This window comes from Homo sapiens, chromosome 10 (genome assembly GCF_000001405.40).
Source record: "Homo sapiens chromosome 10, GRCh38.p14 Primary Assembly".
Lineage (NCBI taxonomy): Eukaryota > Metazoa > Chordata > Mammalia > Primates > Hominidae > Homo > Homo sapiens.
The window spans coordinates 3684601-3712036 of NC_000010.11; the positions used below are offsets into that span (position 1 = coordinate 3684601).

At 41.1% G+C, this 27436-nt stretch overlaps 1 long non-coding RNA gene across 1 annotated transcript in view, besides 1 other annotated feature; it reads left to right on the forward strand.

Moving 5' to 3' along the window:
- Positions 1–27436, forward strand: part of LOC105376360 (uncharacterized) — a 432070-nt gene that overhangs the window by 365906 nt on the left and 38728 nt on the right. The gene's annotated exons all lie outside the window — the stretch shown is intronic.
- Positions 393–593: a silencer, noted in NCBI's record as "peak845 fragment used in MPRA reporter construct". NCBI's record gives its function as "represses an SCP1 promoter by STARR-seq MPRAs in K562 erythroleukemia cells {active_cell/tissue: K562}" and the evidence as "EXISTENCE:reporter gene assay evidence [ECO:0000049][PMID:32103011]".

Sequence of the window (27436 nt, forward strand, 5' to 3'; positions counted from 1 at the left end):
CAGTGGTCAGACTGAGTTTATTTGAGGCTTGAATGATAAGTTATTTAAATTTATTTTGCTGTTTTCAGCCCTACTCTCTAATGTAACCAGTGTTAACAAGGGATGGTGGTGCTTTGAATGAATGTACTTACCCCCAAAAATTACCGATCCACAAAATAAAAATTAACAAAGATATAAATGCACACACTTTTTAAAATTGTACTTAGATATGAAATTCAGCTGAAGTTTAAAATAAGAGCAGCTGATGTAAAATGTAATTCAATACATAGAATGGATATTGTACTCACTTCTGTTCCATGTTATTAGGCTTAAAGGTATTTCAGAGAAAATAGTTCAAGAAATAAACTAAAGACAGAAAACAAAGGGTAAGAGGGAGAGGTGAGATAGAAAGAAAGAAGTGAAGGAAAATAAAGGCTCAGGAAATTCAGAGATGAATGTTACTTTCAATATCCTGCTGTTCACTGGGGCATTGGTGTCAGAGTGACTTATCATCTGTTGTCGTGGAACTTTGACAGGTCAATTCATCACCATCTAACAAGGCTCCTGAACTTCTTTTAGGAGCCTGGAGAGGTTCAGCTCTGAATGGTATGCCAGGAGTAGCCCCCTTGGTAGAAAAACTGTATTTTTGGAAGCTGCTTGGATGAAAAACTCTGTCCCCGGGTACACCAGCTTAAGATCTGACCAGGGATGAATTCTAATACCTGGGAAAAAAAGGTTCCTGTTTTAAGAAAAGGCTCAGCTTATTTCTACATAGACTTTAAATTATTTCTAAATGGGTTATCTAAGGTATTGTGTACTAACAAACAGTTTGTTCTCTAAATAGTTAAAACATTTTCCTGGCTTAGAAGTTTTTGTTTACTTAGCAAGTGCTTTGATTATAGGTACTAGGAAGGTCGGTACAATGTAGTCTCAATCTCTGTTATTGCAAATTCTGATTGAATATACTGAGAATGATTCAGTGTTTAGAATATGGTAAATGGCTCACTGTTGCTCAAGATCTACAGAGTTGCTGCACTATCTGCATGCCCAGAATGCACCGTCTCCCCTTGTGTTTTGTCTTGGTCCATAGAGGTTGATATTTGGGTACCTTTCATTTTCCTCTTCTTCATGGCCCATGTCTTCATGGCCTTGCTATCTGGAAATATCAAGAATGATACACGTAGATGGATGCAAACTAACTTTTCCATGATACCTCACCTGGAGAAAACCATTGGAAATCATTGTGTCCTCCCATGTGAAGGGGAGAAAAGTTTGAAGAACATTGACAGGGTCCAGAAAAGAAGGAAAACATTAAAAACTAAAAAAGTAGATAAAGTATAATTAAATATGATGACTGATTATGGTTAAACCTGGGAGGTAAAGAGGTAAAGACGGGGTTGTTATTTCTAGTATCTAAAATATTTTAGAGAAGAAGTTGGACGTTGTGATGCCATGCAAAGGACCAAACCTCCTTCTTGAACTGCAGCAGGAGAGAGTCTGGGTAAGCACAGGAGGAGATGCTTAAAAAGCCAGGAGAAGTGAAATAGATCATACAATTCAGCCTCTTTTTTGTTTTTCCTGAGACATGGTCTCGTTCTGTTTTTCAGGCTGCAATGCAGTGGTGCAATCTCAGCTCACTGCAACCTCCCCCTCCTGGGTTCAAGTGATTCTCCTGCCTCAGCCTCCGGAGTAGCTGGGATTGCTGGCGCGCCACCACACCCTGCTAATTTTTGTATTATTAGTAGAGATAGGGTTTCATCATGTTGGTCAGGCTGGTCTCAAACTCCTGACCTCAAGTGATCCACCAAGGCCTCAAAACAGCCTTTTAAAGCCTCTAAATTAGGATTTAAAAATGACACAGAGACCTAGATGACAGCAGCTTCTTCATGCTCCTTCTAGGTTTGCCATTTTTATTATTTATGAGTTGTATGTGATTATTTCCAAACAAAGGGATATGAGGGGTTTGTTCTTTGCCAATATAGGGTTTTTGATGACTACAAAGGAATTGAGATTAGTGGGATTCAAATTCTGTAAAAGTCACTACCTCCCTGGGTATCGTTAACACTTCCCTATCACATATGTGTTAGGATGAGTGTTTAAAGAGGATGCTAGATTTGGTAGACATGCATTGCTTTTGCCTTTTTAGCCTTCATCCCTCCCTTTGCTGGCAGTCAGAGCTGCTGCTTCTTCACCCTTGCTCCATGGGCTTTGGACATGTCTAATTCCAGCTTACTTCCAAGACTCTGCATGTAACTAAGAGCTCATTCTCTTGGGCATATGGTACAACCCATTGCTATTCTACTAACTATCATGGCTTTCGCAGGGACAATCAGGGGATGAGCATTCTCTCATGGGGCTGCCAAGTGACTGTCTGAATCTTCTGGTAGCCGTCTCTCTACTAGGATATCAGACCAAAGAACTAATCTACTCAGAAGAAAGAGATAGGAAGATTGATCTATTCCCAGTAACACCATTTGAGCCCTTAGAGTCAGTTGTGACTGAAAACAATTCTACTCCTGAAATTGGTAGCTTCTACATCTATCTATCTCCTACCCAGGTTTTTTTGTTTGTTTTGCTTTTATGTGCTTCTATCAATTTAAGCTGGATTTTTTATCATTTGTGTTGGATATTCTTAATAAACAGACTGCATTTCAAAAGAAATCCTAGTATATTTTAAAGTATACTTTTTAAATGCTAGGATGGCTAAAAGAATCTATAAATCAACTCATTAGACAAATAGGTGAAAAAACTGGGCATCTTTGGTTTAGGAAAGAAAGGATCGGCCAAGCATGGTGGCTTACGCCTATAATCCCAGTACTTTGGGAGGCCAAAGCAGGTGGATCACGAGGTCAAGAGATCAAGACCATCCTGGCCAACACAGTGAAACTCCCAACTCTACTAAAACTACAAAAATTAGCCGGGCATGGTGGCACACAGCTGTAGTCCCAGCTACTCGGGAGGCTGAGGCAGAAGAATCGTTTGAACCTGGGAGGTAGAGGTTGCAGTGAGCTGAGATTGCACCATTGCACTCTAGCCTGACAGCAGAGGGATACTTCTTCTAAAAAAAGAAAAAGAGATGATCAGAGTACACATGTTGTCCTCAGCTATTTTAAGCGGTGTTATCTAGAAGAGGGAGAAGACGTGCTGTGGAGCCCCCAGTCATGTGTAGTAACATCACTAGAGTGATTCAGGTAAGACCTGGTGACAGGGAGTGTTGCCAAGGAAGAGATGCCTTCTCAGGGCAGCATTAAGGGCTAAACAGCTCTAAAGTATTTTGAAATTGACCAGCCTGACTCAATAATTTGAGCTGAGAATTCCACTGTGATGCTTCATGCTAACAATATCATCTACAAGGATGGCTTACCAAGAAAACTCAAACTCACTCCGCAGGGGTGAAGATGGGGGAGGAAGAGGTTAAAGGCCAAGTGAGAAAAGATTGAATTTTGAACAGTTTTCTGAAATGCTGCCATTGATTTATTAGTTATATCTGGGAGTAATTTACATCCAACCCAATTTCCCCATGGCTTAAAGCCACTCAAGAAAGTTCACATACCTGTTACACAAACTGTTGCATTCTAAAGTCATAGGCGATGCTTGTTGAGAAGTCCACAGAAGTGATAGCAACTACATAAAATAATGTCCACCAGAGAGTTGAATTTTTAAGAAATAAAATTTTGAATGAATAGACTTCTATAGAGTTTGGATAAAAGTCTCAAGAATTGGGTGAATTTATTGGCTATCAGCTCCCTGCAATAACCTCAAAATATCTTAATTATGAAAATGTGATGAATCTTATTATTTCAGTGGGTGATAAGACATTCAGAATTATTTCCATAAAAATAAGAATTATGGCAGCAAAACATTTATTCAATTGTTCTGGCTTACTACATGGTAGGCTAGTGGCTAAGATTTGTAACAGATACAACAAATACCAATAACTTTTTAGAAAAATAAAGATTTAATAGATGTGTTTTGTAAACAGTATGTAAGTAGATGTAGAAGATATGCTGTCTGATGTGAGAAGGAGCTGAAGGATCATTGAAGGCCGCCTCCTGTGTTGGCCCCACTTTATTAATGAATGTACTGAGACTGGGGCTCCATTGACTTTCCTGAGGTCACATAACTGATAAATGATCAAACAGTTGTAGGACCAGTTTCCAACAACACCGATCTTCGACATAAAAATCCTGAATTTTGGGATGGCGGAGTTGTTCTTCAAACTCAGCCTGTCTTCTCTATTTCTGTTCTGACTGTCTTAGTAATAATAGTAGATACAACTTATATGGTGCTGTCCTAGAATGCTAGGGTTGCCAAAACAAAATGGCTCAACCTGGGTGGCTCAAACAATAGAAACTTAGTGTGTCACAGTCTGGAAGCTAGAAGTCCATGCTCAAGATGCTGTCAGAGTTAGTATCTGGTAGGGCCTCTTCCTTTGGGTTGCAGACAGCCACCTTCTCCCTGTGAATTCAAAAGGCCATTTGCCTGTGTGCAAGGAGAGAGAGAGAGACAGAGAGATCTCCGATGTCTCTTTCTCTTCTTATAAGAGTACTTGTTCTATCAGATTATGGCCCCACCTTACGGCTCAATTAACCTTAATTACCTCCCTAAATTACCTAACTCCAGTTACATTGGGGTTTAGGGCTTCTCACATATAAATTTTGGAAGTGACACAATTCAGTATATAAAAAGCACCTGGTGTTTCAGACACTGATTAGTGGGTTTTTTTTTTTTTAATTTACTAACTTACATACTGCTAAGCAAATTACAAATTAATTTATGAAATTGATAGTTAATTAATAAATTACTAATTGAATTATGACAATATCTATTGTTATCCCCACTTACAGGTGAGAAAACGGAGGCATAGAGCATTCTAATAACTTGTTTATGGTCTTGTGGAGGGTTGAGCCAGGTTTTGGGTCGTCATATCAGTCCAGTCCGGAGTCCAGGTGTGCTCACCCCCTGCCTATCTGACCTCTCTTTACCCCTCTTTTGTGGTGTGGTCTATCACAACAGATCCTAGGGCTCGGCCTATTCGGCAGACTCCAGAGGAAGTTAGTTTCCTAACGTGAGCTCTCACGGGGTGAATCCATCTGTTCGTGGCCCCATTTTCACAACACGGTAGAATGAATGGTAGGCCCACATTCCAGCTCCATCAGCCTGCCTAGCAACCCTTGCCCATCATCCACAAGGCTGCCCCGTCCACAAGGCAAGCTCCCGCCAGGTCCTCTCCAGCCCCAGCCCCATTTCTGAACGTGGATCATTCTCCAAACATCCCGCACGCTGCTCCCCCAGTCCGCACATCCTCCTCTCCCTTCTTTTCCAGGCGTGGTGTCTCCCTTCCTTGACAGATTTTATCAAGATTCAGGGAGCACAAACCACACTGTCTTTGCTGTGCCCACCCACTGCTCTCTCCATACTTGCTCGGAATATCTGATGCACTGCACCTTTATGACTCATTTACATCTTATTCATCATCTTTTCAACTTTAGACAGAGACTTCCTGGAGGGCAAAGGCTGTGTGAATGTTATTTTTGAATGCCTAGTTCCCAAATTCAAGCTGGAATATACTTGACCGTCAATATTTGTTGAATGAATGGTTGCCCAAGTGTTATGGTCTGTGTTGAATGCATTTTTTTTGTAGCTAACATGAGGAAAGCCAATTGGAATTCAATTTTGTTGACATCTTCCTATTAGCCAGAAGCAGGAATAGAATCCATCTCTGTTGAGGTCCCTGAGGGCAAGGCAAGTAGCTCCTCTTGACGTGTGTCACTGGATAAACAGAACTCTAGTAAAGAGTTTGCTCATTTTTAAAAGTGAGAAGAGTTGCTCAGTTGTTCTAAAAATATTGTGTCCTTATTACCATTGCCTTTGGAATATATTTGTTCTGTTATTTATCTCAGAAATAATTCTACCTCTAGAATACATGCAACACAGTTCTATAGCAGAAGTAATAATACACAATTGCAGGGTCACGTTCATGTATAGAAAACCGAAATCTGTATCTATGGCATGCAATTGATGAATGTCCTCTCCACATGAATTTTATTGGCAAATAGTAATAATTGATAGCTGGGCAGTTCTCTACTTTTCCAAGCATTCTCATCTTTTTTTTTTTTTTTTATTCTCAGAGAAATATGTGAGGTCTTTGGGCAGGTGGGGCTTTGTTCTTCCATTCTACCTGTAAAGAAGCCAGGACTGAAGGAGCTTTTTACAGATCATGGAGCCAGTCTTGGATTAAAGAGCTTTACAGATCATGGAGCCAGTCTGGGAACCTCAGTGAGACTTTGCTTCCTCTACACAAAGCTTCCCTCATTCATGTAAAGCAAATCATAGAATTTCCCTTGCTTTAGAAATATATTAAGCTCTTAAAGATAAAATTCATATACAGAAAATGCATAATTTCAAAATGATTAGAAAATAAATGGCTATATTGATAAAGATGTGAAACAAAGTAATACTCTTGTTCAGAAAATTGACACCAAAAATTTAGTTTCTATTAGATAAAGTAATGGGTGAGAATAATAATTTTGAACTTGTTTTTACCATCATTTAAAGAGGATCCAAAATGTTGGTCAGCAATGCCTTCATTCACTCATTTATGCAACTTTGTCGTGCTATGAGCAATGGCACTTTACACATGGAAAATGCACTTGTTTCATGTATTTAAAAACCTCCCTGTACACCAAGGTGTAGCAAATATCACATGTGTAATCCATGAGGCAAGACAAAGATGAGCAGGCCGTGTAATTTGCAAAGAAAGTCAGGCTTGGTTTGTGTGCCTGATTTAAATGAATTCTAGAGAAAGGAAATCGCTCTTAGGCAGAGGAGAAGGCAGGGTGCTAATGAATAAAATGCTGGGCATCAACTTTCTTGCCTGTTGACACCATCGTCTTTTTGCCTAATGATCTCTCCCACTACCAGACCACGAACTTGGAACCCAGCAAATGTAGTAACTCTAGCGGACCATGCTGTGCCTGGCAGTCATAGAAGGCACTCGATGAATGCTTGTTAGTGAGATGGCTCATCTTACGATTGACATGAACACACCACAGAAATCCTAGCATGTGTGTGTCCTGGAAGGAGAAGAAGAAAATGGCCTCTGTGGACAGCTCCCTGCAGTCCAAAGCTACAGGTGCTTGGTGTGTTGCTTCAGTTCAACTCTGAACAGCTCCACGAGGACAGGATGAACCTCGAGGAGGCATGAACTGCAAGAGAGGCATGAATCGCCGTGGAGCAGATTGTGGCAAGTCTGTGTTGGAGCTCAAAACTCCTCATGCTGGAGTTATGATGCATCTCTTGCAGGCCACACATGCCTCCACTCTGGACTTGGTGCTGACAGCCACAGAGACCAGGGCTTATGCTCTTAGGACCATGGGGGAGGCTGCCCTTGCCCTCCAGGGAGACAGATATCGTGTGTTGTTTTCCCAGAGTAGAAAGAAGTGGCAACAAAATACTGAGGTCAACTTGATAATCTCACCATTCTGGTTGACAAAGATGAAAATGCAGAATTTTCAGAGTTCATCAGCAATACATTACTTTTCCTCCAAACTCACATATTTTGTCTACAATCAAAAATTAAGAGTTAGGTGATTTTCTGAAGTAGTTGTCTGCACAATCAGAACGACAGCTCAAAAGCTCTTCGTGCCTCAATCCTAAATTACTTAAATAAATGCTTTGACCTTTCATGGCCCGAGGCAGACCCAGCCTAATGGAAGCTTGAAGCAGGCTTCCTCTGGTCAGTGCTCACTTTCCTTTTTATTTTTTTTAAGTCAGGTATTTGGCCCAAGTAGCCTGTGTTTTTGTGTCTGGGGTGATGTTTTAAATAATTAGTAAAGCTTATTTTCATTTGAGAAGACAGCAAATAGATGAGGGGCAAGGAAATGAAATGTGGCCAACTCTTAGTCACTCAGCCCGCTCGGCTGCAAGAAGATTAAAGCCTGGCTGGGAAGGCTTTTCGAGGTCAGAATACTCTGCAGAGAGGCTTCAATGTTTCCTTAAAACTGAAGATAAATATTCACAAGAGGCAAAGGTGATAAGAAATGTCACAGCAACCTTTGTCTTCAAGGGAGTTGCAACACAAGCCAGAGAGAACAATAATTCTCTCAAATGAGGAATCAAAAGGCTTCGTGTCTCTCTTAAAAAGCAGCTTTCTGAACAACAGAAATTTTAGCTCCAAAGAGGCTCTGACAGATTAGAATACTCTTGGCTTATCCATGAGTGATAGAGCCTACAGACTGTGACTAAGAAGGGCTTCCGTAGATAAATATCTCTCAAGAGGTCGTTATTATCTCAAACCACTGAATTTATCCTTGTGATTTTCATTCTTAAAATCATCCACAAAAGGCAGTTTACCCATTGCAATGGCAAATTTGAGTGACTAGAAATCTGATTATCTTTGCGACCTCTAAGCCATATGTAAGAAACTCATCACATTTCTCAGATACTTATTTTATTATTAAAGTCATAGTGTTTAAAGAAGTCTTCGGGCAATTTTAGTTAGAAGCATTAGGAATGAAATCCTTCCCTTTAATAATATTTTCAATGTAACAGGCTTACTGAAAGCCAGTTAATATGAAGCGCTAGACCTCACTCACACCGCCTCCCTTTAGTCACATTCTGCTTAGCATTCCACAGTGCCTCTTAGAGGGCTGGAGGAATTCTGACCTTCCAACAGATAGGGACTCACAGAGCTAAACCCATCCAAAGAGCTAACATCTCAAAAACCTGCTGCTCACAAGATTAGTCTCTGGCTCATGGGAGGATTTTCTCTTTTCTCCAGGAATCACCCACATTTTCTTGCTGCACGGCAGGTGGTTGCACCTGCTGCGTGCTGGGGTTGTGCTTCAGGAGGTCTGTGTGGTCACCCCTTGTCACAGGCAATGGACAGTGCTGGTCTCTGCTTGCCTGCCTCTGTGCCATCCTGCCTGGCAAGCCAGGTCCCTCTGAGGACACCATGTGTATGCCTGGCACGTGCTCCCTTCCCCGTTTCCTGTGAGCGATCCCGAAGCCCTCGCTGGCACTCTACCTTCCATAGAGGCAGCACACCCTATTGAGTATGGGGTGGCACCGGGCAGAGTGATTGCTGGTTGTGGACACCCTCCTTGGTGTGGGTCAGATGTCTTCATCCAGAACTCATTTAATAGGGTACCCTGTGGCTACTGAAGCTTTAGTTATCAGAAAACTGGTTATCCCACTGATAGGTGTCTTACACAGCAACATATTTGTCTGTCTATATAAAGAGAACAGAAAATTTAAAACACAAGTGGCAGCTTTCAGGAAAAGAGCCCAACTTGCCCCATCTGGTTTTTGGTTTTGTTTTTTAAACAGGATAGATTGGGTATTCTAGCCCTTTGAATTCATTCTTGATTTAATCTTCTTTTCACTTTTGTCTTCGTTTTCACAAATGGATATGCAGACAAGATTAGCCTGCTTTCTTAGAAGTTTCTAAGCAACTTGAGATGAATTAAAATACTACAGCCAGCCTCATGCACTCAAACCAACTTCCAGGACTTACTGCTGAATCTGCCTTAAAACTTCCTGTAATAATACGGCATTTCTTATGAAGTTTGGATCAGTGATGCCCACATTTGATTGCTAATTACAATACCTGGGGGCTTTTTTTAAATGTAGATTAATGGATGCCACTCTTGGATTTCCAATTCAATAAAATATTCGTATTTTTCTTATCGCTTAGAGAAAGGGTATAATCCCTGCAAAGGTGTTCACTAGTTAGGCTCTCCTAGAAAGAATTTACTTCATTCAAGGAAACATCTTCTTTTCTCTTTTCCTTCCTATCTTTTCCTCTATTTTTTTCTTTTTAAATATACATTTGTAAAATGCAGGTGATGTTGGAAGAAAATAAAGGACAACTTATTGCTGGTGTTTATATGAGTTTTCTCTTAAATCTATCCAATAGTTTTTTGAGATAAGCAAGATAAAGACATAACAATGGATAAGAAAACAGAAGCTCAGAGAAGTTCAATAATCACCAAAGTCACACAGCTAATGACTGGCCAAACCAAGATTCAAGACCAGGCCTGGATGATTTTTAGGGTCCTCAGTCTTTCTGCTCTGTTAAGTTGCTTCAAATATGAAGAAATTCTGAAATATTATTTAGTATTAAAATGTGATTGCTATTAGCATTTTTGATCTCATCTTTCCAATTTTTTTTTCTAAGTGTGGCCTTTTCTGTATTACATATATGATTTATAACCTGTTCACTTACTGGCATGCCCATAAACCAGATTTCCTTGTTAGGGAACCATCCTATGCTTACACAACCATTGTTGTACAATAGTCCTTGAATATTATACACAGGTTAACATGTTCTTTAAGTACTCCTAAATTGCTGGGAATTGGGTAAATTTTAGTTATCCGCTTTGAAAAGCCAGTATGCCTCTGCTGAAATCAGCTGGATTTTATTCTAGGCTGTAGAATGCTCCATGCCATGTTTCTCTTGTTTTGTCACCAGCCAGGGCTGGCTCTTCTCATGTGAATGGCATAAGTGCAAGTGGCTGGATCCAACCATGTAAGCATGCGTGGAGCCTCTACGAGTGTCCATCCTCTAGCCTTTCACTGGCCAGAGCAAGCTGTCAGCCAAATGCAAAGTTGGTAAAAAGAGGTTACCGTCTCTGTGTACACTACCAGGAGACACTGCATATTGTATAACCTCCCATCCAGAGGAAGTGGTGCTTGGAAGCTGTGATTGTCTACAAAGCATGTTTAGAGTGGGAAGGTGATCAGAGTAGAATGCACACTTAGGAGCAGGAGTAAGAGTCAAGCTGAAACTAATGTTGGATTAAGTTGATAATAATGAAGAACCAGAAAAGTAGAGAGATTCCGGAGCTATTTATGAAGTGTATCAATCAGTGTCCTGGCAGAAAACAGAAAGTACCCACAGTACGGTAAGGAGGATAATATCAGAGCTATTATCTAATATCCCCTAGAGAAACTGAATAAGAAGAATGTTGACAATGGTTTAGGAACTGTTGAAAGAGCCAACAGGGGTAGGGAAGCACCAAAGACAAGCACTAGACTTCATGACCCCTTAGCCTGTTGTGGGCTTTGATGGCACCCACTCATGGCCACAGCCACGGAGAAGGGTCTGTTTATAGGGCTGGGGATGAAGGCACCAGTACTGTCAGGCCATGGCCCAGCAGAGAGATGGGAGTGGGATGAACACCCCCACCCTCTCCTTCCATGCGTGTTTTAGGCTGTGTTCATCAAGGAGGCCAAGAAGACACAGCCCATGGAGGCAAACGTCTCAGAGCACAGAACAGAGCAGAAAGCAGTGGGAAATGGATTTGGAGGAACATGAAGAAGATCACCGGCAAAATTGTCCTTATTACTAATTAGTATCCAACTTATTCTTCCTTTAGTTGGAAAAATACCAACACAGGAAAACTCATTTCCCATCAACCACGGTGTCTCCTCCTGAGATGATGGCGATCTCATTATAGTCCCACAAGGAGAAAAATGGTCATCTTCTCCACCTCCAGAGCCCTTCATGGAGAGTGGCAGAGACAAAATAATGTGTCAGGGAGAGGGACGAACTCCCCATACAGATGCTAAGACCCTCCTTCAGTGAGACCCAAATCTACCCTCCTTGTGTCCTTCTCCCACAGCACCTTGACTCATGAGGTTTTTTGTTTGTTTTTACCGACTAGGGTTACCTCAGTCCTACAAATAAACACTCCAAATACTCAGTGGCCCTGCATTTATTGAGTTGCTATTGTTTCCCACTGGTCAGTAATGATGAGGCATAGGAGGGATCAGTAGCAACACAATGAACCCGGAGTTTCCATGATGCGTCCCCCAACACAACTTCCCCTGAGTGATTGAGGTTAGTCACACCCAGTAGTGTGATGACCTCCTACTATGTGCCATGGTCCAGCGAAATGAGGAATCCATGTTGGATAGGAGGCAGCCTTAGCTTCAGACTCAGCAAAACTATGTCAATATTCCCAGGAGAAGCCTGAACTGTGAAGCGAATTGTCTCCTAATTGGTGCCATAATTTAGCCTTCATCACGCTTTACCTACTACCATGACAGCTGCTTCCGAGTGATGGGGAGACCAGCAAACCCTTTGCCTCTGTCCTTTGTGAAAACATGAGTTCCTTAATCTGAGGCCGTGGTCTCCCTGATAATCTGTGAATGGATAAGCCACTCATTGTTCACAAATGAAGGTGTTGGCAGAAGTTTTATGGGTAGGGATGGCAAATATACATTTAGAATACCCATAAGAACAGATGACTGCCCACTGCATGGTAAAGCAGTTCTAATATAGTCAATATCCAATATGCAGCCAAGTGTTTTCTCTGAAAAATGGTGCCATGACAAAGGTTCATCATGGGCATCTTCCGTGGGCAGCTTGGGCCCTCAGAGGTGGCTAGAGCCAGAGCATGCTGGTGAAGGAGCCCGTGTTGCTAAGATCAGGGTGATCCCAGTGCTGCCATCATGGACACTTCAAGGGTGCCCTGTGCCTTCATGGAGCTCCTATGTGGAAAGGTGAGTGATCTGTTATGGGAGAGGACAATTTGTTCACTGATTGTTGAGGATTTCCTCTGAAGTGGGTGCCCTCTGGTTGACGTTTATGTTAGATATCAGTAGCTTTATTCTCTGTAACTGTTTCTGAAAGGTCCATCCTCATTCCTCCTCCCCAGGAACCCTGGTCACCCATCCTCAAACTAGCCATGACCCCAGAATGAAAGTAGACATGAGCATGGGGCCATTTCTCCTTGCATGAAGCAGACAACCAGATATGATGCTGGAAATTCTGCCCACTGACACCTGGAGCATTCCTCAGGGGACTGGGATGCAGCGGCCATCCACTCAGGCTGGTGTAGATGCATCGTCGGCCAGGCCCGTGCTTTCTCCTCCTCTGGTAGCTCCCTTTGACTCCTTTTAATATGGGTTGAGGGATCACCGGCAGAGCTGCAGAAGGAGGTCCCATGGGAGTCAACCTTGGATGATTGACCTGTGCCTTCTGAGCCTGCTCAGCCCCCATCTCACATATGCAATGCCCACATGATAATGAAATGTTTCTCTGCATGTGCAATGTTGTGGTTCAACAGGTCGTATAAAGCCCAGTGGGACAGGTTGTGTCACATAACTGCAGACATCCCATGGTCAGAACATAAGTCTCTACCAGGGTCTGGGAGCTAACCAGGAGCCACTTCTCACATGCAGAGTATCGTCATCTTTCTCCACATCTCTAAGTTTATGTGTAATACTCCTATCAGAGCTTCCTACAACCTCCAAAAACATCTCTCTCTGCCACAGACACGTCTCTGTGTCACTGAGCCTACTGGGTTATAAGGTCTGAGTGACAACACAATTTTCACCCTCCCTTCAGCTGCACTGAGCCTTCTTGCTCCAAAATTGGCCAGCTAGAGGGCTGCTGGGAGATCATCTCAGCACAGCAAATCCCAAGGTCATGTGTGTTGTGCTAAAATCCACAGACACCTACTGGGGGCTATGTCCTTCCAACTGGCCTCTCACTTTTAGGAGAAGTCTCCATATTCCCAGACACGGGAGCCCCTGGAAGCTTCCCCAACTTGCCAGGGACCTGAATGTCCACAGAGATTATCCCTTTCTGCTGGCAATTAGGATGCTTGTAAATGGCTCCTCTTAGGTCTGTTCAGCTGAAGTATCATAAAGCTCTGTGAGATTCTGTAGGATATCTAGAGTGTCAGCACTTCTCCAGACTCCATTATATCAAAAAGCAAGAGGTTGGGCAAAGCCCTGTGATACGACAGTCAAGGTTTATGGCTTCCCTGGCAGAGGAAAGTAAACTGTGTCTGATTATCTTTATTGATGGGCATTACATAGAAAGCATTTACTCAATCAATGGGTGCATGGCAGCCAGGGGCTATGTTGATTTATTCCAATGAAGATACCACATCTGGCTCAGCAGCTGTGACTGTTATCACCACTGATTAAGTTTGTGATAATCCAAGTCATTCTGAGAGATCCATCTGGCTTTTCTACTAGCCAAACAAGCAAGTTAAATGGGGGTGTAATAGGGATCCCTACCTCTGCATCTTGACATCTTGATGGAGGCATGAATCTCTGCTACTGTCCCAGGAAACTGTATTTATTATTTGAGGAGGAAGGAGTTTCCAGGAACTTCCATGTGGGATCTTCTGACCATAATAGTCCTTACTCCAATGGTAAGAAGACTTGTTGGGATTCTGACCATTGTTAAATATATTTACAGCCTCCAGGACTTTGGAAACAACCACAAGATAATCCAGTGGCCCAACAGGACCTTCTGTGAAATAGATTCATGCCGTGAGCCCATCTAACTCCTGCTGCTTTAAACATCTCTTTGGCAGCAAGCCACAATGATATTTTGTGTCTGTAGGGATTTGCATTCCTATCAGAGCTATTATCTAATATCTCCTAGAGAAAATGAATATTTCCCACTCCGCAAAGCACAGTTGTCTTGTTAATAGCTCACAGGTCCTTCGCGGGAAGGCTTGGAGGAATAGCCATGGTCTACCTTGGCACTGAGTGGCAAGGTTTCCTCAAACATCTGGTGAAAGCAGGTAGATGAAGGTGCTCTTTCTTGAACTATGGAAGTTTACAGGGGGGTAGTTCTGGCACAAGGTGAATGCATGGAAATCCAGTGTTCCATTTGTGACTTGTTGAATTTAATATTCTTTGAGATATCTAAGGGGAAATGTCTAATAAACACTTGAAAGCACAGGTCCACAAGCCAGAAATCTCTAGTGGGAAGGCATCAACAATTTTATGGCAGTTGAAACCCTCAACCCAAATATGAACTTAATTGAAATTCAACATTTAAAGTTTATGCAGAAGGCTGGGCGTGGTGGCTCACTTCTGTAATCCCAGCTACTCAGGAGGCTGAGGCAGGAGAATTGCTTGAACCAGGGAGGCAGGGGTTGCAGTGAGCCAAGATCGTGCCACTGTACTCCAGCCTGGAGACAGAATGAAACTCTGTCTCAAAAATAAATAAATACATAAAGCTTATGTAGAAATGAAAAGTCTTAAAGCATGTCTAAGGAAGACTATTCGAGGTGGTATAAGGAAACCAGAAAAATGTGATATTCTAGAGACCACAGGAAGAAAGCATTTCAGAAAGGAGCAAGCCGCAAATTGCATCAAATGCTGCTGAAAATATAAGAGAATGAGAACTCAACATGCCTCTTTAATTTAGTGACATGGAGAGAACTTGTGACCTTTGCAAGATCTGTTTTGGGGAAACGCTAAGGGCAGAAGCCAGACTGGGTGTTTACCGAGGGTAGCAAAACACTGCATGTACCAATTTTTTTTTCCTCAAAAACCAAATAGCTTACCATTTTTAAAGCTTGTTTTGTGTGTGTGTTTGATTTTGATTCCTCTGTGATTATATTTATATAATACGTATCCTAGAGGCAATTTGCTGCTGCTTAGCCACTGACGACACTCTTGTTTAGCTTGCTCCAGTGTAAATGAGGTTCCAGCCTCATCAGGCGTCTCCAAGAGCTCCATGGAAGGGTTCAGCTTCCTGAGTTATTTCTTTGTCTTGTGTGCTTGGGGGATGATGAAACAGAAGTAGCAGAGAGACAGTTGTGAGGTTCTTAGTATGCTAAAATGGAGGCTTTGTCATTAACATAGCGTCATCCATCACAAAGAAAAATCAGCCTAGGATTTTTCACACCACGCATCACAGCCTTTAATTCCACTCTACTGACTAGAGCCAGAAATTCAGAAATTCACACATTTTGTAATGTTTAACTTTCCCCTGCACATATTTTATTTCTGAAATATTCACCCCTGAGTATTTCTCTCTTTCCTTCTATGAGTTTGTTCAGGGTTATATCTCTAAATCTGAAAGCTTTTTACATTGTGATTAGTAATTGAGTTATATTTGGGCGTGAAATCTATGTTCCTTTGGGAGTTTAATTATTCCAAACAGATAGACAAATTAGAGTAAACTTGGAATTGAGTAACATAAAGATGAAGAATGAATAAGACTATAGTATTTACTTGTAAAGAGCATTAATGTCTGAACAGAAAGAATTTGGCCACCTAAGCGCTAAATGGTGGTTTAACTGCCCATAATTCTGTGGTCAAGTTGAATCTAAAACAGCACCAGGCTAAGAAAACTAGTTATTGACTAACAGCACCAGGAGTCTATTAAAATCATGTTCTATGTAAAGATTCCAAGAAAGTGTAATAAAGAGATTCATCTTCATCACTTCAGTTATTTGTTTGGATATAAATGACATTCTTCTAATTTCTACCTCTCACATTCCTTGCAGAGGGGTCCGGTCTTTCTGTAAACCTACACTGTTTCCATGTGCTAAAAATTTACACACGGTATTAATTTCACTTGACTTGCCCTGTGTGTGTGTGTGTCTGTGTGTGTGTGTTTGTGTGTGTAGACAGGTTTTGACTCCTGGAAGTAGATTAGTGATTAAGGCAGATGAATCCCTCAAGCTGTTGACTTCTCTGTAGACAGAGCTCTTTATCTTAAGTGGAAGATAGAAGCATGTTTTCCATGTGGAAGACAGAGTCTGAAGTCTGAAGAGGACTCCTCTAATGATGTAAAAATGATAATGCATTGTCAATAGGATGGGATGCCACGGCTGTCTCATGAATGAACAGTGACCCCATATGATGACTTCCTATGCAGCTCATACTAAAGAACATAGGAAGGCTCACACCTGCAATCCCAACACTTTAGGAGGCAGAGGTGGGAGGACTGCTTGAGCCCTGCTGAGTAGCTGGGACTATAGGTGTGTGCCACCACACCTGGCTGATTTATTTTATTTTTAGTAGAGGTGAAGTCTTCCTATGTTGCCCAGACTGGTCTTGAACTCTTGGGTGACACAGCAAGAGCCTGCCTCAAAAAAAAAAAAAAAAAAAAAAAAAAAAAGAGAGAGAGAGAGAGAGAGATTTTCTCTTACTCACAGTCCTAGCACCAGTCCTATGGCCCTCACAGTACTACAGCGACCACTTATCTTGTGGGATGTTCACAGAGCTGGCTGTGGCACATGGTCCTGCTTGTCTTCAGAGAAATTGTATTGTTCTTTCTGATGAGGGTGAGGATGCTGAGGGCCTGGTTCATTCAAGACAGCTAATGTGTGTTTGGGCAGGAATGCTGACCCAGGTCACACCCCAGAGCTGTAACCACCATACAGACTGCCTCCCTCATGACTGGAAAAAATTCATTTGTAGTTATTCAGTGAAAAAAAAAAAATCTCTTTCTCTCTGTCTCTCTCTCTCTCTCTTTTTTTTCTTTTTTTTTTGAGGCAGGCTCTTGCTGTGCCACCCAAGAGTTCAAGACCAACCTGAGCAACATAGGAAGACTTCATCTCTACAAAAAATAAAATAAATTAGCCAGGTGTGGTGGCATATGCCTATAGTCCCAGCTACTCAGCAGGCTGAGGCAAGATACTCACTTGAGCCCAGAACTGGAAGCTGCAGTGAGCAATGATCAAACACTGCACTCCAGCCTGGGTGATAGAGGGAGAACTCATCTCCTGAAAGAAAAAAAGAACATATGAAGAGTTTATTAGCTGGTGTTTTCCGCAGTGTCTAACTCTGCACTCTGTAAACAGCGGATGCAAATGAAGGGTTGCTTTGAAGGATGAGGGTGATGATGGCCCGATGACTGGGGACATGCGTCATGCTAATTGCTTCATGTGACCCTCACATCAGCATCCAGAAGTGGACGTCACTTCACCATTTAACAGAGGATCACCTGAAGACACGAGGAATGACATACCACAGCCGCTCTGTGCAGGTCCTCGCCCCTGTTCTGTGTCCACTTTAGGTGCTGGCTGACCACGACTGGCCTGCAGAGGAAAGGAAAGAGATGCCCCCGTAACCACAACCTGCATGACGATCACAGCCCCATCAAATTCCATGCAAGAGTGAACAAGGTCTCTGTTTTTCAAAAAAAAAGATAACCACTGAATAATTTTTATTCTAGTGAGGCAGGAATTGAGCCCATATTTCCTCCTTTTTCATTAGAACACTTCTGATATTTTCAGAATATTTATGTAATTATTCTTTGGTAAATTAGAAAGTCTGTATAGATTTTTTATAAAAACAATCTTTTCAAACCAAAATTTTTCTTTAAGAGCATAATAATTAATTCCAAAGGAGAAAAACTCCAGTAGACACAGAGAAGCGGCAGCATAAATATTGACATAGACAAGCAGTGTGTAGTTTGGCCAGCTGCCTGAAATTCTTTTCTCAAGGTGAGCATGGAGGTGTCAGACTAGGAAAACTAAACACAGAAAAACACCCAAGAAGACAGTTCTGTGGCAAAAGACACAATTATTTACCATAGCAAAGAAGCTATCACTGGGGTAGAGAGAATTAAACTTTGAAAACCAATAGAGCATCAAGAACTGTCTCCATCATTAAGAAGGAGTACAGACAAATTAGAGCAATTGGACAGTGAATGGTAGCATGGGCCTTATTTTTCTAAAATAGGTTAAACATGAATACATTTTTAAGAAAAGAACTATAAAATGTCATGCATGCAGTTCCATTTGTACAATGTTAGGATGATTCTGTGAAGAAGAATTCAACTGCCATAGAAAGACCTTTTAACTAGCAGACACCTGGAAAGGTGTGCTCTTACTCACAATCCTAGTACCAGTCCTGTGGCCCTCACAGTACTACAGAGACCACTTATCTTGTGGGGTGTTCACAGAGCTGGCTGTGGCACATGGTCCTGCTTGTCTTCAGAGGAGTTGTATTGTTCTTCCTGATGAGGGTGAGGATGCTGAGGACCTGGTTCATCCAAGACAGCTAACTGGTGTTTGGGCAGGAACGCTGACCCAGGTCACACCCCAGAGATCTAACCACCATACTAGACTGCCTCCTTCACCACCGGAAAAAATTTATCTGTAGTTATTCAGTGAAAATAATCTCTCTCTCTCTCTCTCTCTTTATTATTATTATTATTATTTTTGGCAGGCTCTTGCTATGTCATCCAGGTTGGAGTGCAGTGGTTTAATCATGGCTCACTGCAGCCTCCATCTCCTGGGCTTAAGTGATCCTCCCATCTCAGCCTCTTGAGTAGCTGAGACTACAGGCACATACAACTATGCTCAGCTAATTTTTTTTAATGTATGTTTTGTAGAGACGGGGTCTCACTCTGTTGTCCAGACTGGTCTCGAACTCTCAGGTTCAAGTGATCCTCCTACCTCAGCCTCCCAAAGTGTTAGGATTATATGCATGAGCCACTGCTCCCGGCAAATTAATCTTTAACAGTATTTCATGCAAAACACTTAGGAAAACAAGAAAAACATACAGCAAGCAGCTCTGTTTCTTTGCATTAGCAAATTCTGGTTTAGAAGTTAAATGTGAATCGTGCTTTGCAGCTTTCCTAATAAGGTGTGATGGAGACGTGGAGCTACCGTTGACACCAGCTTGCAGAGGAATATTGCCTAAACAGGACCAGGCACTTTCCTTTACTTCTTTTTCAATATGATCCCTTATCTTAAACTGGCCTATAAAATACTCCATTAATCCCTTCAACAATCCAAACTCTAACAGAGATTGTCAAAAAAAAAAAAAAAAAAAAAAAAACTTTCTCAAATTGGCCATGATAAAACAATGCTATATTCTCTCTGGATTTTTAAAAAATTATTATGAGTTTCCAAATGTTTTATATTATGCTTTCTTAACAACATTAGATATAACCATTAAACAAATTAGCCATTGGCTAAACTTTACCTTTAATATTATGGGATTTGGTTTGGGAGCTATTTTGTGCCAAACAGAGACAAATAAGAAGCATCTCTCAGGGGTCTAGAAACAGGAGTGTGATGCATTTATTCTGCCAGGTTGTATTTGGTAAGATAGGAGAGATGCCCCCACAGAGCAGGAGAGAACATTCCTGGTCTGGAGGCAGCACTTGACCCTGCCACTGTGGGCTACCTGACTTTTGCAGGTTCCTGCCTGTTAGTCTGGGATGATGAGACTTGTCATGCCCTCTGCAGAGGTACCTTGAGGAAGAAGGAAAAGGCATCGCTTGAGGGCATGTGACAAGTGCTCAGTGAATTTTGCTGGGAGAGCGGTGGAGAGAAGACAGTGAGATCCGTTTGCTCACAAAGAGCCGTGCGGTCTAGAAGGACACGTGCCGTTAAGTATTTTACAGATCACTGTGCATTAAGTATTTGTTCTTAACAGCAAATGTTCCAATGTTTTAGTTTCATTGGAAGAGCTATTTGACAGGATGATTATATGATTGCTGGGTAGTACTTAAAAGTGATTACTGGATGTATGTTTCATGTCCTCAGAGAGCTAATGGGTTTCCTTTTACTGTCCTCTAAGTCCCACCCAGAAATCTCCTGACATATCCTATAATTCCAAAGGAAATGAAACCACAAGAAGGATAAAACTATATTTTGCCCTCCAATGACACATGAGGATTAGCCATCGTCCCGTGCAACAGCACCTGAAATTTAGCTCATGCAGTGGCCTTTCAGTGAGCTCAAGGGGAAGTGCACTACTTTCCCCACTTAATTCAAGTTACTTTGATTTTCATCATCTTCCCCAAATAGAATTTACCCAAAGGAACCAAGCTGTCAGTCACACTACATGAAGCAGGACTGAAAAAATGTTTTAACTTGGCTGCAGCTAATTATAGACGCTCTCAGAGTGCAAAGACCCAGGGAGGTCATCTAGTTATCTCCTGCCACAGGCAACCCATCTTAACTGCCCCTTAACTAATTAAAGATATCCCTAAAACTTTTCTCTTGATCTTTTCTTTCAGACTGTTGGGGGTTCTCCGCTATTCCCATTTTGTAACCTCCCCAATAGCTCCAGTGACCCAGTCAGGCCTGTATGTTACTCATTCCCATATTCAACCTCTGATGGACATTGCATTGGGCGTTCATGTTATCTTAGAATACTAAAGGCTTGGAAGAAGGGTGTCTAATAACAAAAGAAATCTGAATATTTCATAGTCTCACTGCTTTTTGGATATCTCTAAACTATGAATACAGCTTCCCCAGTTATTTAGAATGTCACTTATTTCTTGTGAGGATGTATGCATGTTATTACATCATAGCAGTCTAATGCAGCATTTCTTAATCTGTAATTCATGGAACTCATGCTGAGGATATGCCTTGAGAAAACTATTCTGTGGTCCTATAACTGTGTAAAAAGCGGGAACTAACAATGATTAGAGAGCCAATAAAGATTCTGTTTTTACTGGAGGACTTCTCACACTCCTGAATACATTAATGTATGTTATAAACACCCAAGAAGAAAGTGGTATGCAACTATTTCAAAACACTTTTCTTTATTATGTTGTAAAAGGAAACATTGAGCTTTTGTAAAATTACAGTTCCAAGAATTAAATTTTAGAAAACGTTGCTTCAAAATATGCATTTTTTTTTGCAAAAATGTGGAATCAACCCAAATGCCCATCCATCAATGAGTGGGTAAAGAAGCTGTGGTGCATACGATGGAATACTACTGAGCCATAAAAAGGAATGAATTAATGGCACTCACAGCAACTTGGATAACATTGGAGACTATTATTCTAAGTGAAGTAACTCAGGAATGGAAAGCCAAACATCATATGTTTTCACTCATAAGTGGGAGCTGAGCTATGAGGATGCAAAGGCATACAAATGATACAATGGACTTTGGGGACTCAGGGGGAAAGGGTGGGAAGGGGGTGAGGGATTAAAGACTACAAATTGGGTTCAATGTATATGGCTTGGGTGATGGGCGCACCAGAATCTCACAAATCACCACTGAAGAACTTACTCATATAACCAAATACCACCTGTTCCCCAAAAACCTATGGGAATAAAAAATAAATAAATAAATAAATGCACTAAATACAAATATATATATATACACACACATATACATATTGCACATATATATACATATATATTGCACACATATATACTTATATATTGCACACACATATATACATATATATTGTACACATATATGTATATATGTGCAATTCTTGTTTGTAACAGCACTGGCTGGAAAAGTGGATTCAAGACGGGTCATCAGGGTCGCTTCTTGGGGAGTGAATGTAAAGGGGTGGGAAAAGGTCGGGACAGTGACTCAGCACTAGAAATTTCATGAGCACAGAAGACCGTGTCCACCCAAACTGTCCTGGAAGAAAACGTTAGGAGCTGCTGGAAGGACTGTTCCAATAGGTACCTGGAGTGGGAGGTGAGAGCCCTGAGTAACTTACTCCACAGTAACAGAAGGTCTTTCACAGAAGGGCAGGCTGGTACACGCTCCCACACCCTCCTGCACCTTCTCCTTTAAATGGATGTTGACCAGATGTCTAAATAAGAGACCAGGGGACCCTGAGACTCTGGTGTCCACACGGGCCATCTAATATCTTCCTCAATGTGAAGGTCCACGTGGGCTCCGCTACACTTCTACCGTTTCCTCTTTCCCACTTCTAGTTGTCCGTCTCTTCAGGGACATCCTTTATGTGAAGAAAGTGATAGAATTGTTAATATCTCTAAATAGTGAGGAGGACTTAATTCTTTCCCTACTATATTTGAACCCAAGCCTGGAACATGTAACCCACTAACTCTCATACTTACCCTTAATTTCTTCTTTCCTATTGTATCCCTATGGAAGAAAGGACTAGTTTCAGGTATTCTTAACTTCACAATTAATTTAAATTTTAAGATTATTACATATCTTATTTGTAACCACATTCATAGAGAATAAAATAATATCTCTTGAAGCCTAAGTGTATGAAAATTTCAATGTGCTGTCAGTCTGTAAAGTAAGCATCAATCTTCCCCCACAGTGAGAAGCATTTTGTATACATCACATGGATGTAGCACGTTCCATTGTAAACTCAATTTTTAAATTAGATTTGAGTCCCTTAAGTACAATGCCTTCTGTCTTATTTTTACTTCTTTTTACTCAGTGCCTCACTCAGTCCACACTCAGTGAGGATTTCACAAAGATGGAAAGAGTGATAATCTAAAATCTGCAGAATCTACTCTCTGAAATTCTAGAAAATATTTTCATTTTCCAAATTGGGTTTTAGTGAGTTAATGACTCAGAGAAAACATCAATAAGGTGATTATCTATACTTAGAGGAGAATTTGCCCCTAATTTATGCTATTCTACTAACTTGTTCCTAAATAACATGACCCTGCTTCTGCAGGTCACAGATATTTACTTGTTTGGTGTCACAATTGGAAAAATATTCATTGTTCTTAAGAATTTTTATTTTGGGAGTTTCATTTTATTACTGGAAAGCTCACTGATTTTTTTTTTTTCAGTTGAATGTTTTAGAATTTTGTAGACATAGCTAGCGTCTTTAACGTAAAAGTGGCTGGTAGTGATTTGCTGGTGATGAATTTATCAAGACAAGTGACAAATATTTAAAAAATTGATAGCAAATCTCTTGAAATTAGAACCTAAAATATATTATCAACTTACCTCCTGAGAGTTTTTTTTTTTTTTTTTTTTGAGACGGAGTCTCGCTCTGTCGCCCAGGCTGGAGTGCAGTGGCGCGATCTTGGCTCACTGCAAGCTCCGCCTCCCGGGTTCACGCCATTCTCCTGCCTCAGCCTCCCGAGTAGCTGGGACTACAGGCGCCCACCACCACGCCCGGCTAATTTTCTGTTTTTTCAGTAGAGATGGGGTTTCACTGTGTTAGTCAGGATGGTCTCGATCTCCTGACCTCATGATCCGCCCGCCTCGGCCTCCCAAAGTGCTGGGATTACAGGCGTGAGCCACCGCGCCCGGCCGAGAGTTTTTTAAAAAGTCTTTTTGTCATTGTTATCGTTTCTGCTTGACATTATAAAGTGGACAAAATAACAGTTCACTCAGCCTGAGATTGTTTAGAGAATTGATAAGGCACAGCCAGTGAAGTAGCTAACACAGTATAGCAATCACTCAATAAACAGAGGCTGTGCTATTCTGGAGGGAGGCATTGCTGTAAGTGACAAATGTACTTCATGATTTAGAATCACGAGTAATAGAATCATTAATCTTTTTTTTCTTGCTTACCTAAATTCTATAAAAGTAACACAAAGAAATAAAACCAAAACCCAAACGTCAAACTTTCAGTTACATAAAATTATATTTTGACTATTTCAATATATTTTAACCTGACAGACTATGGGAGAGACGTGAGGATAGAATACAGGAATGGTCTGAGCCACCGTCTCTGTGGGCAGGTGCCCTATCCCCCTCTCCACCAGCCCTTCCCACCCAGGCAACACATCTCTCACGGCCCACAAACTGGGAATTCACTCATTCTAGAGCTGCCTATATCATTATTTAGGTTCTTAGAGATTTTTCTTTCCATTTCCACATTCAAATCCCTTAAGGAGCTCTAGGAAATGCCTCCTGACTCATCCGCTATCACCATCCCTCTCGTCTGGCCTGCCCTTCCATAATCTACATCTTGATATTTTAAAATACCATCCATCATATTGCCAGCCCGTTGCTGTCTTCTGGATCTATTTATTTTTTTTCCTTAGTAATACTGCATGGGCCATGAAGTCACAGATGTCCCTATAGATAAACGTCTGATGTGAGCTGTGCCCCGGAAGGACAGTAACTGAATTAGTTTTATTAAGTATGAAAATAACTCACAGAGTGGGAGTGTTGGTTAGAAGTTGTCTTCCAGGAAACTGAGAACTGCCTAAAGTTATGCTGATGCTTCTGCGATCTTTGCTAATCACTCTTTCTCTTCCATAGGATACCTTTAACCACCACCCTCCTTTTCCCTTTACTTAACGTGTTTTACATTGGGAAAGAACCTAACTTGACTGTGTTGTTTTTAATACTCCTTGTCGGGCTAGGTTTTCTTTTTTCCTTTCTTTCTTTTTTTTTTTTCTTCTTTGAACATGAAATAAAATGCAACCTTTGAAAGGCTATTCATCTGTCTTCAGGAAAGGTCATGGGAAAAATGCTGTAGAATTTTCTAATGGTTCATCCATCAAAAATGCAGCTCTCCATTGATTCTTCCCGAATTGTCAATTTCCAAGCAGCCTCAGGGATAAGCCTCATTCTGTGAGACGCAATCCTTGATAAGGAAAAAGATAAAGTGATAAATGATTTTTCTGGTCTTTTCCTTTGGGAACGATAGCCAACTTGCTAAGTCTTAGACTCAGGCAATAGCCATTCATGAGCTACCTGCACACAAGGAGTTTGTGATGTTAGTAATGTGAATTTGGCAATAGTGTTTTCAGCAAAAAAAAAAAGTCACTACTTAAATACAAACCCCTATACATGACTGGCCTTGGAGAAAACTAGCAAAGCTCAGAAACAAACTGACTTAAAGTACGTTGCCAAACACAGCATCATATGTTGGCTGAATACAATATTTTAAAGGAACTGAAAATATTATAACAAAATAAACCTCCCATCTGGGTCTATGAGCCAATAAACTAAAATAATTCTCAGTAAATATCTTAAATGTAATCACATCTAGTGCTAAGAAGAATTATATTCAATAAGAAAAAGATGATTAAAAAATAAACTAAATGGGCCACTTTGCATACAATATTATTGAATATTTTGCAGCTACTTATCAAACTGGAAAGTATTATGAAAAATACAACTCTATCCCCTGTTCCCATGTTTTCCCTTACTTTGACATCACCATCCAAGAGAATGTTAACATTGCTCAGTGCTTGTTCAAGGTTTGTTCTAGATTCAAAATTGAATTCTGTCTTGCCAACCTTCTGGGTTACGAGCAATGACACAGCATGAAATGAGCATCAGGTGATATTTAACATGTGACACCACATCCTGGGGTATCAAAATCAGTGTGATTATTCCTGTAAAAGAGCTCATGATCTCTGTGATACAGAAAAGTAACTAGGCATTTAGAATGAAAGGTGATGAATTCTAAGACAGAAAGCAGAGAGTATGTGAGATAGATACATAGAATAGCACAAATCCAGGCTCAAGATAGTGAGATGGTGATGACAGGGTGAAGTCCAGGGTGCCCTCCAAGAGCAAGTGACAATGAACCCGGGAAGCATAACACACAGGCATGCCCATGTGCACATACGCCACACACATACATGCACATGCACACACAACATCTACACATATGATGCACATGCAAACACAGCAGAGACATGCACATACACACATGCACACACCACAAGCACAGGCATGCACACACATGAGTGCACATAGAAATACGTGTATGCACATAACATGCACACGAACACATGCACCCATAACAGATATATACATAATGCACATGCACACACAACATGCATGTGCCTACCACAAACATGCAAATGCACACACAAACACATGCATGCACACAATGGGTACGTAAACACAAGTGCATGCAATAAACATGCATATATCCAAACATGTCTTCACAGATGTGCACATGGACACACACACATGCAAAAACACACACATGTGTTTGAACAACATACACATGCATTCAGCAGACATACACATGCATGCAGCAGACATACACAAACAACACATGTGCAACACACAGACACTCAACACACGCACACAAACATCACACATGTGACACATAGACATACAACACATGCACACAAATATCACGTACCTATAACATGCATCCATATGCAGTGTGCACAATATATCCATGCACACACAACATATATATGTGCTACCCATAACACATGAATGTGATGTGACAAAAAGGTGCATGACACACATGCACATATCAATCCACATGCACCCCCACACCCAACACACATGCAACACACACATAGACAGACAACATGGACATACACATACACATGCACACACAGAGATGAGGGCAGAGGGGCATTTTGGATGTTTCAGACATAAAAATCTACACATTTAGAGAAGAGAAGTTGATAGCATTATTCTGAAAGATCTTAAGTATTACTGGATTTCAAAAATGAGAAATAGGTTGAGGCTGCAATGAGCTGTGATCATGCCACTGTACTTCAGCCTGAGCAACAGAGCAAGACTCTGTCTTGAAGAAAAAGAAAAAGAGAGAGAAGTGAGAAGAGTTGTTATGCATGTTGTGATTTATGATTGTGTCATTCCTAAATGACTGACATTGGAAGACTACCATTGCTGGCAGCAGTTAAGCCTGGTTCACCCAGCTGAGGAGCAGAGGAGCTAACCCTCTTCAGTTTGCTGGGCCAGACTGAGAAGGAGAGGGCTTGAGTAAAAGGTCAAAATTCATATCTAGGAAGAACAGAGCTTTTAGAGATCAACTTGAGCTAATTCAGTTGTTTTGTCATAATAATACTTTTAGCCCGAATATTATACATCTCCAGGAGTACTATCTTCCACTTCTGCAAATTGGCTTCTGAATACTACATTTTTTCATTCTTAAAAGTTCCATCTGGGTCTTCATTTATATCTTCTATTTCTCTCATTATATTCATGTTTTCCTTTACATTGTTCAGTATATTGTCAAGATTAATTACAGTTATTTTAAGGTTTTCCTGGTATTTTCATTATCCCTGCCATTTCTAGATCTGGT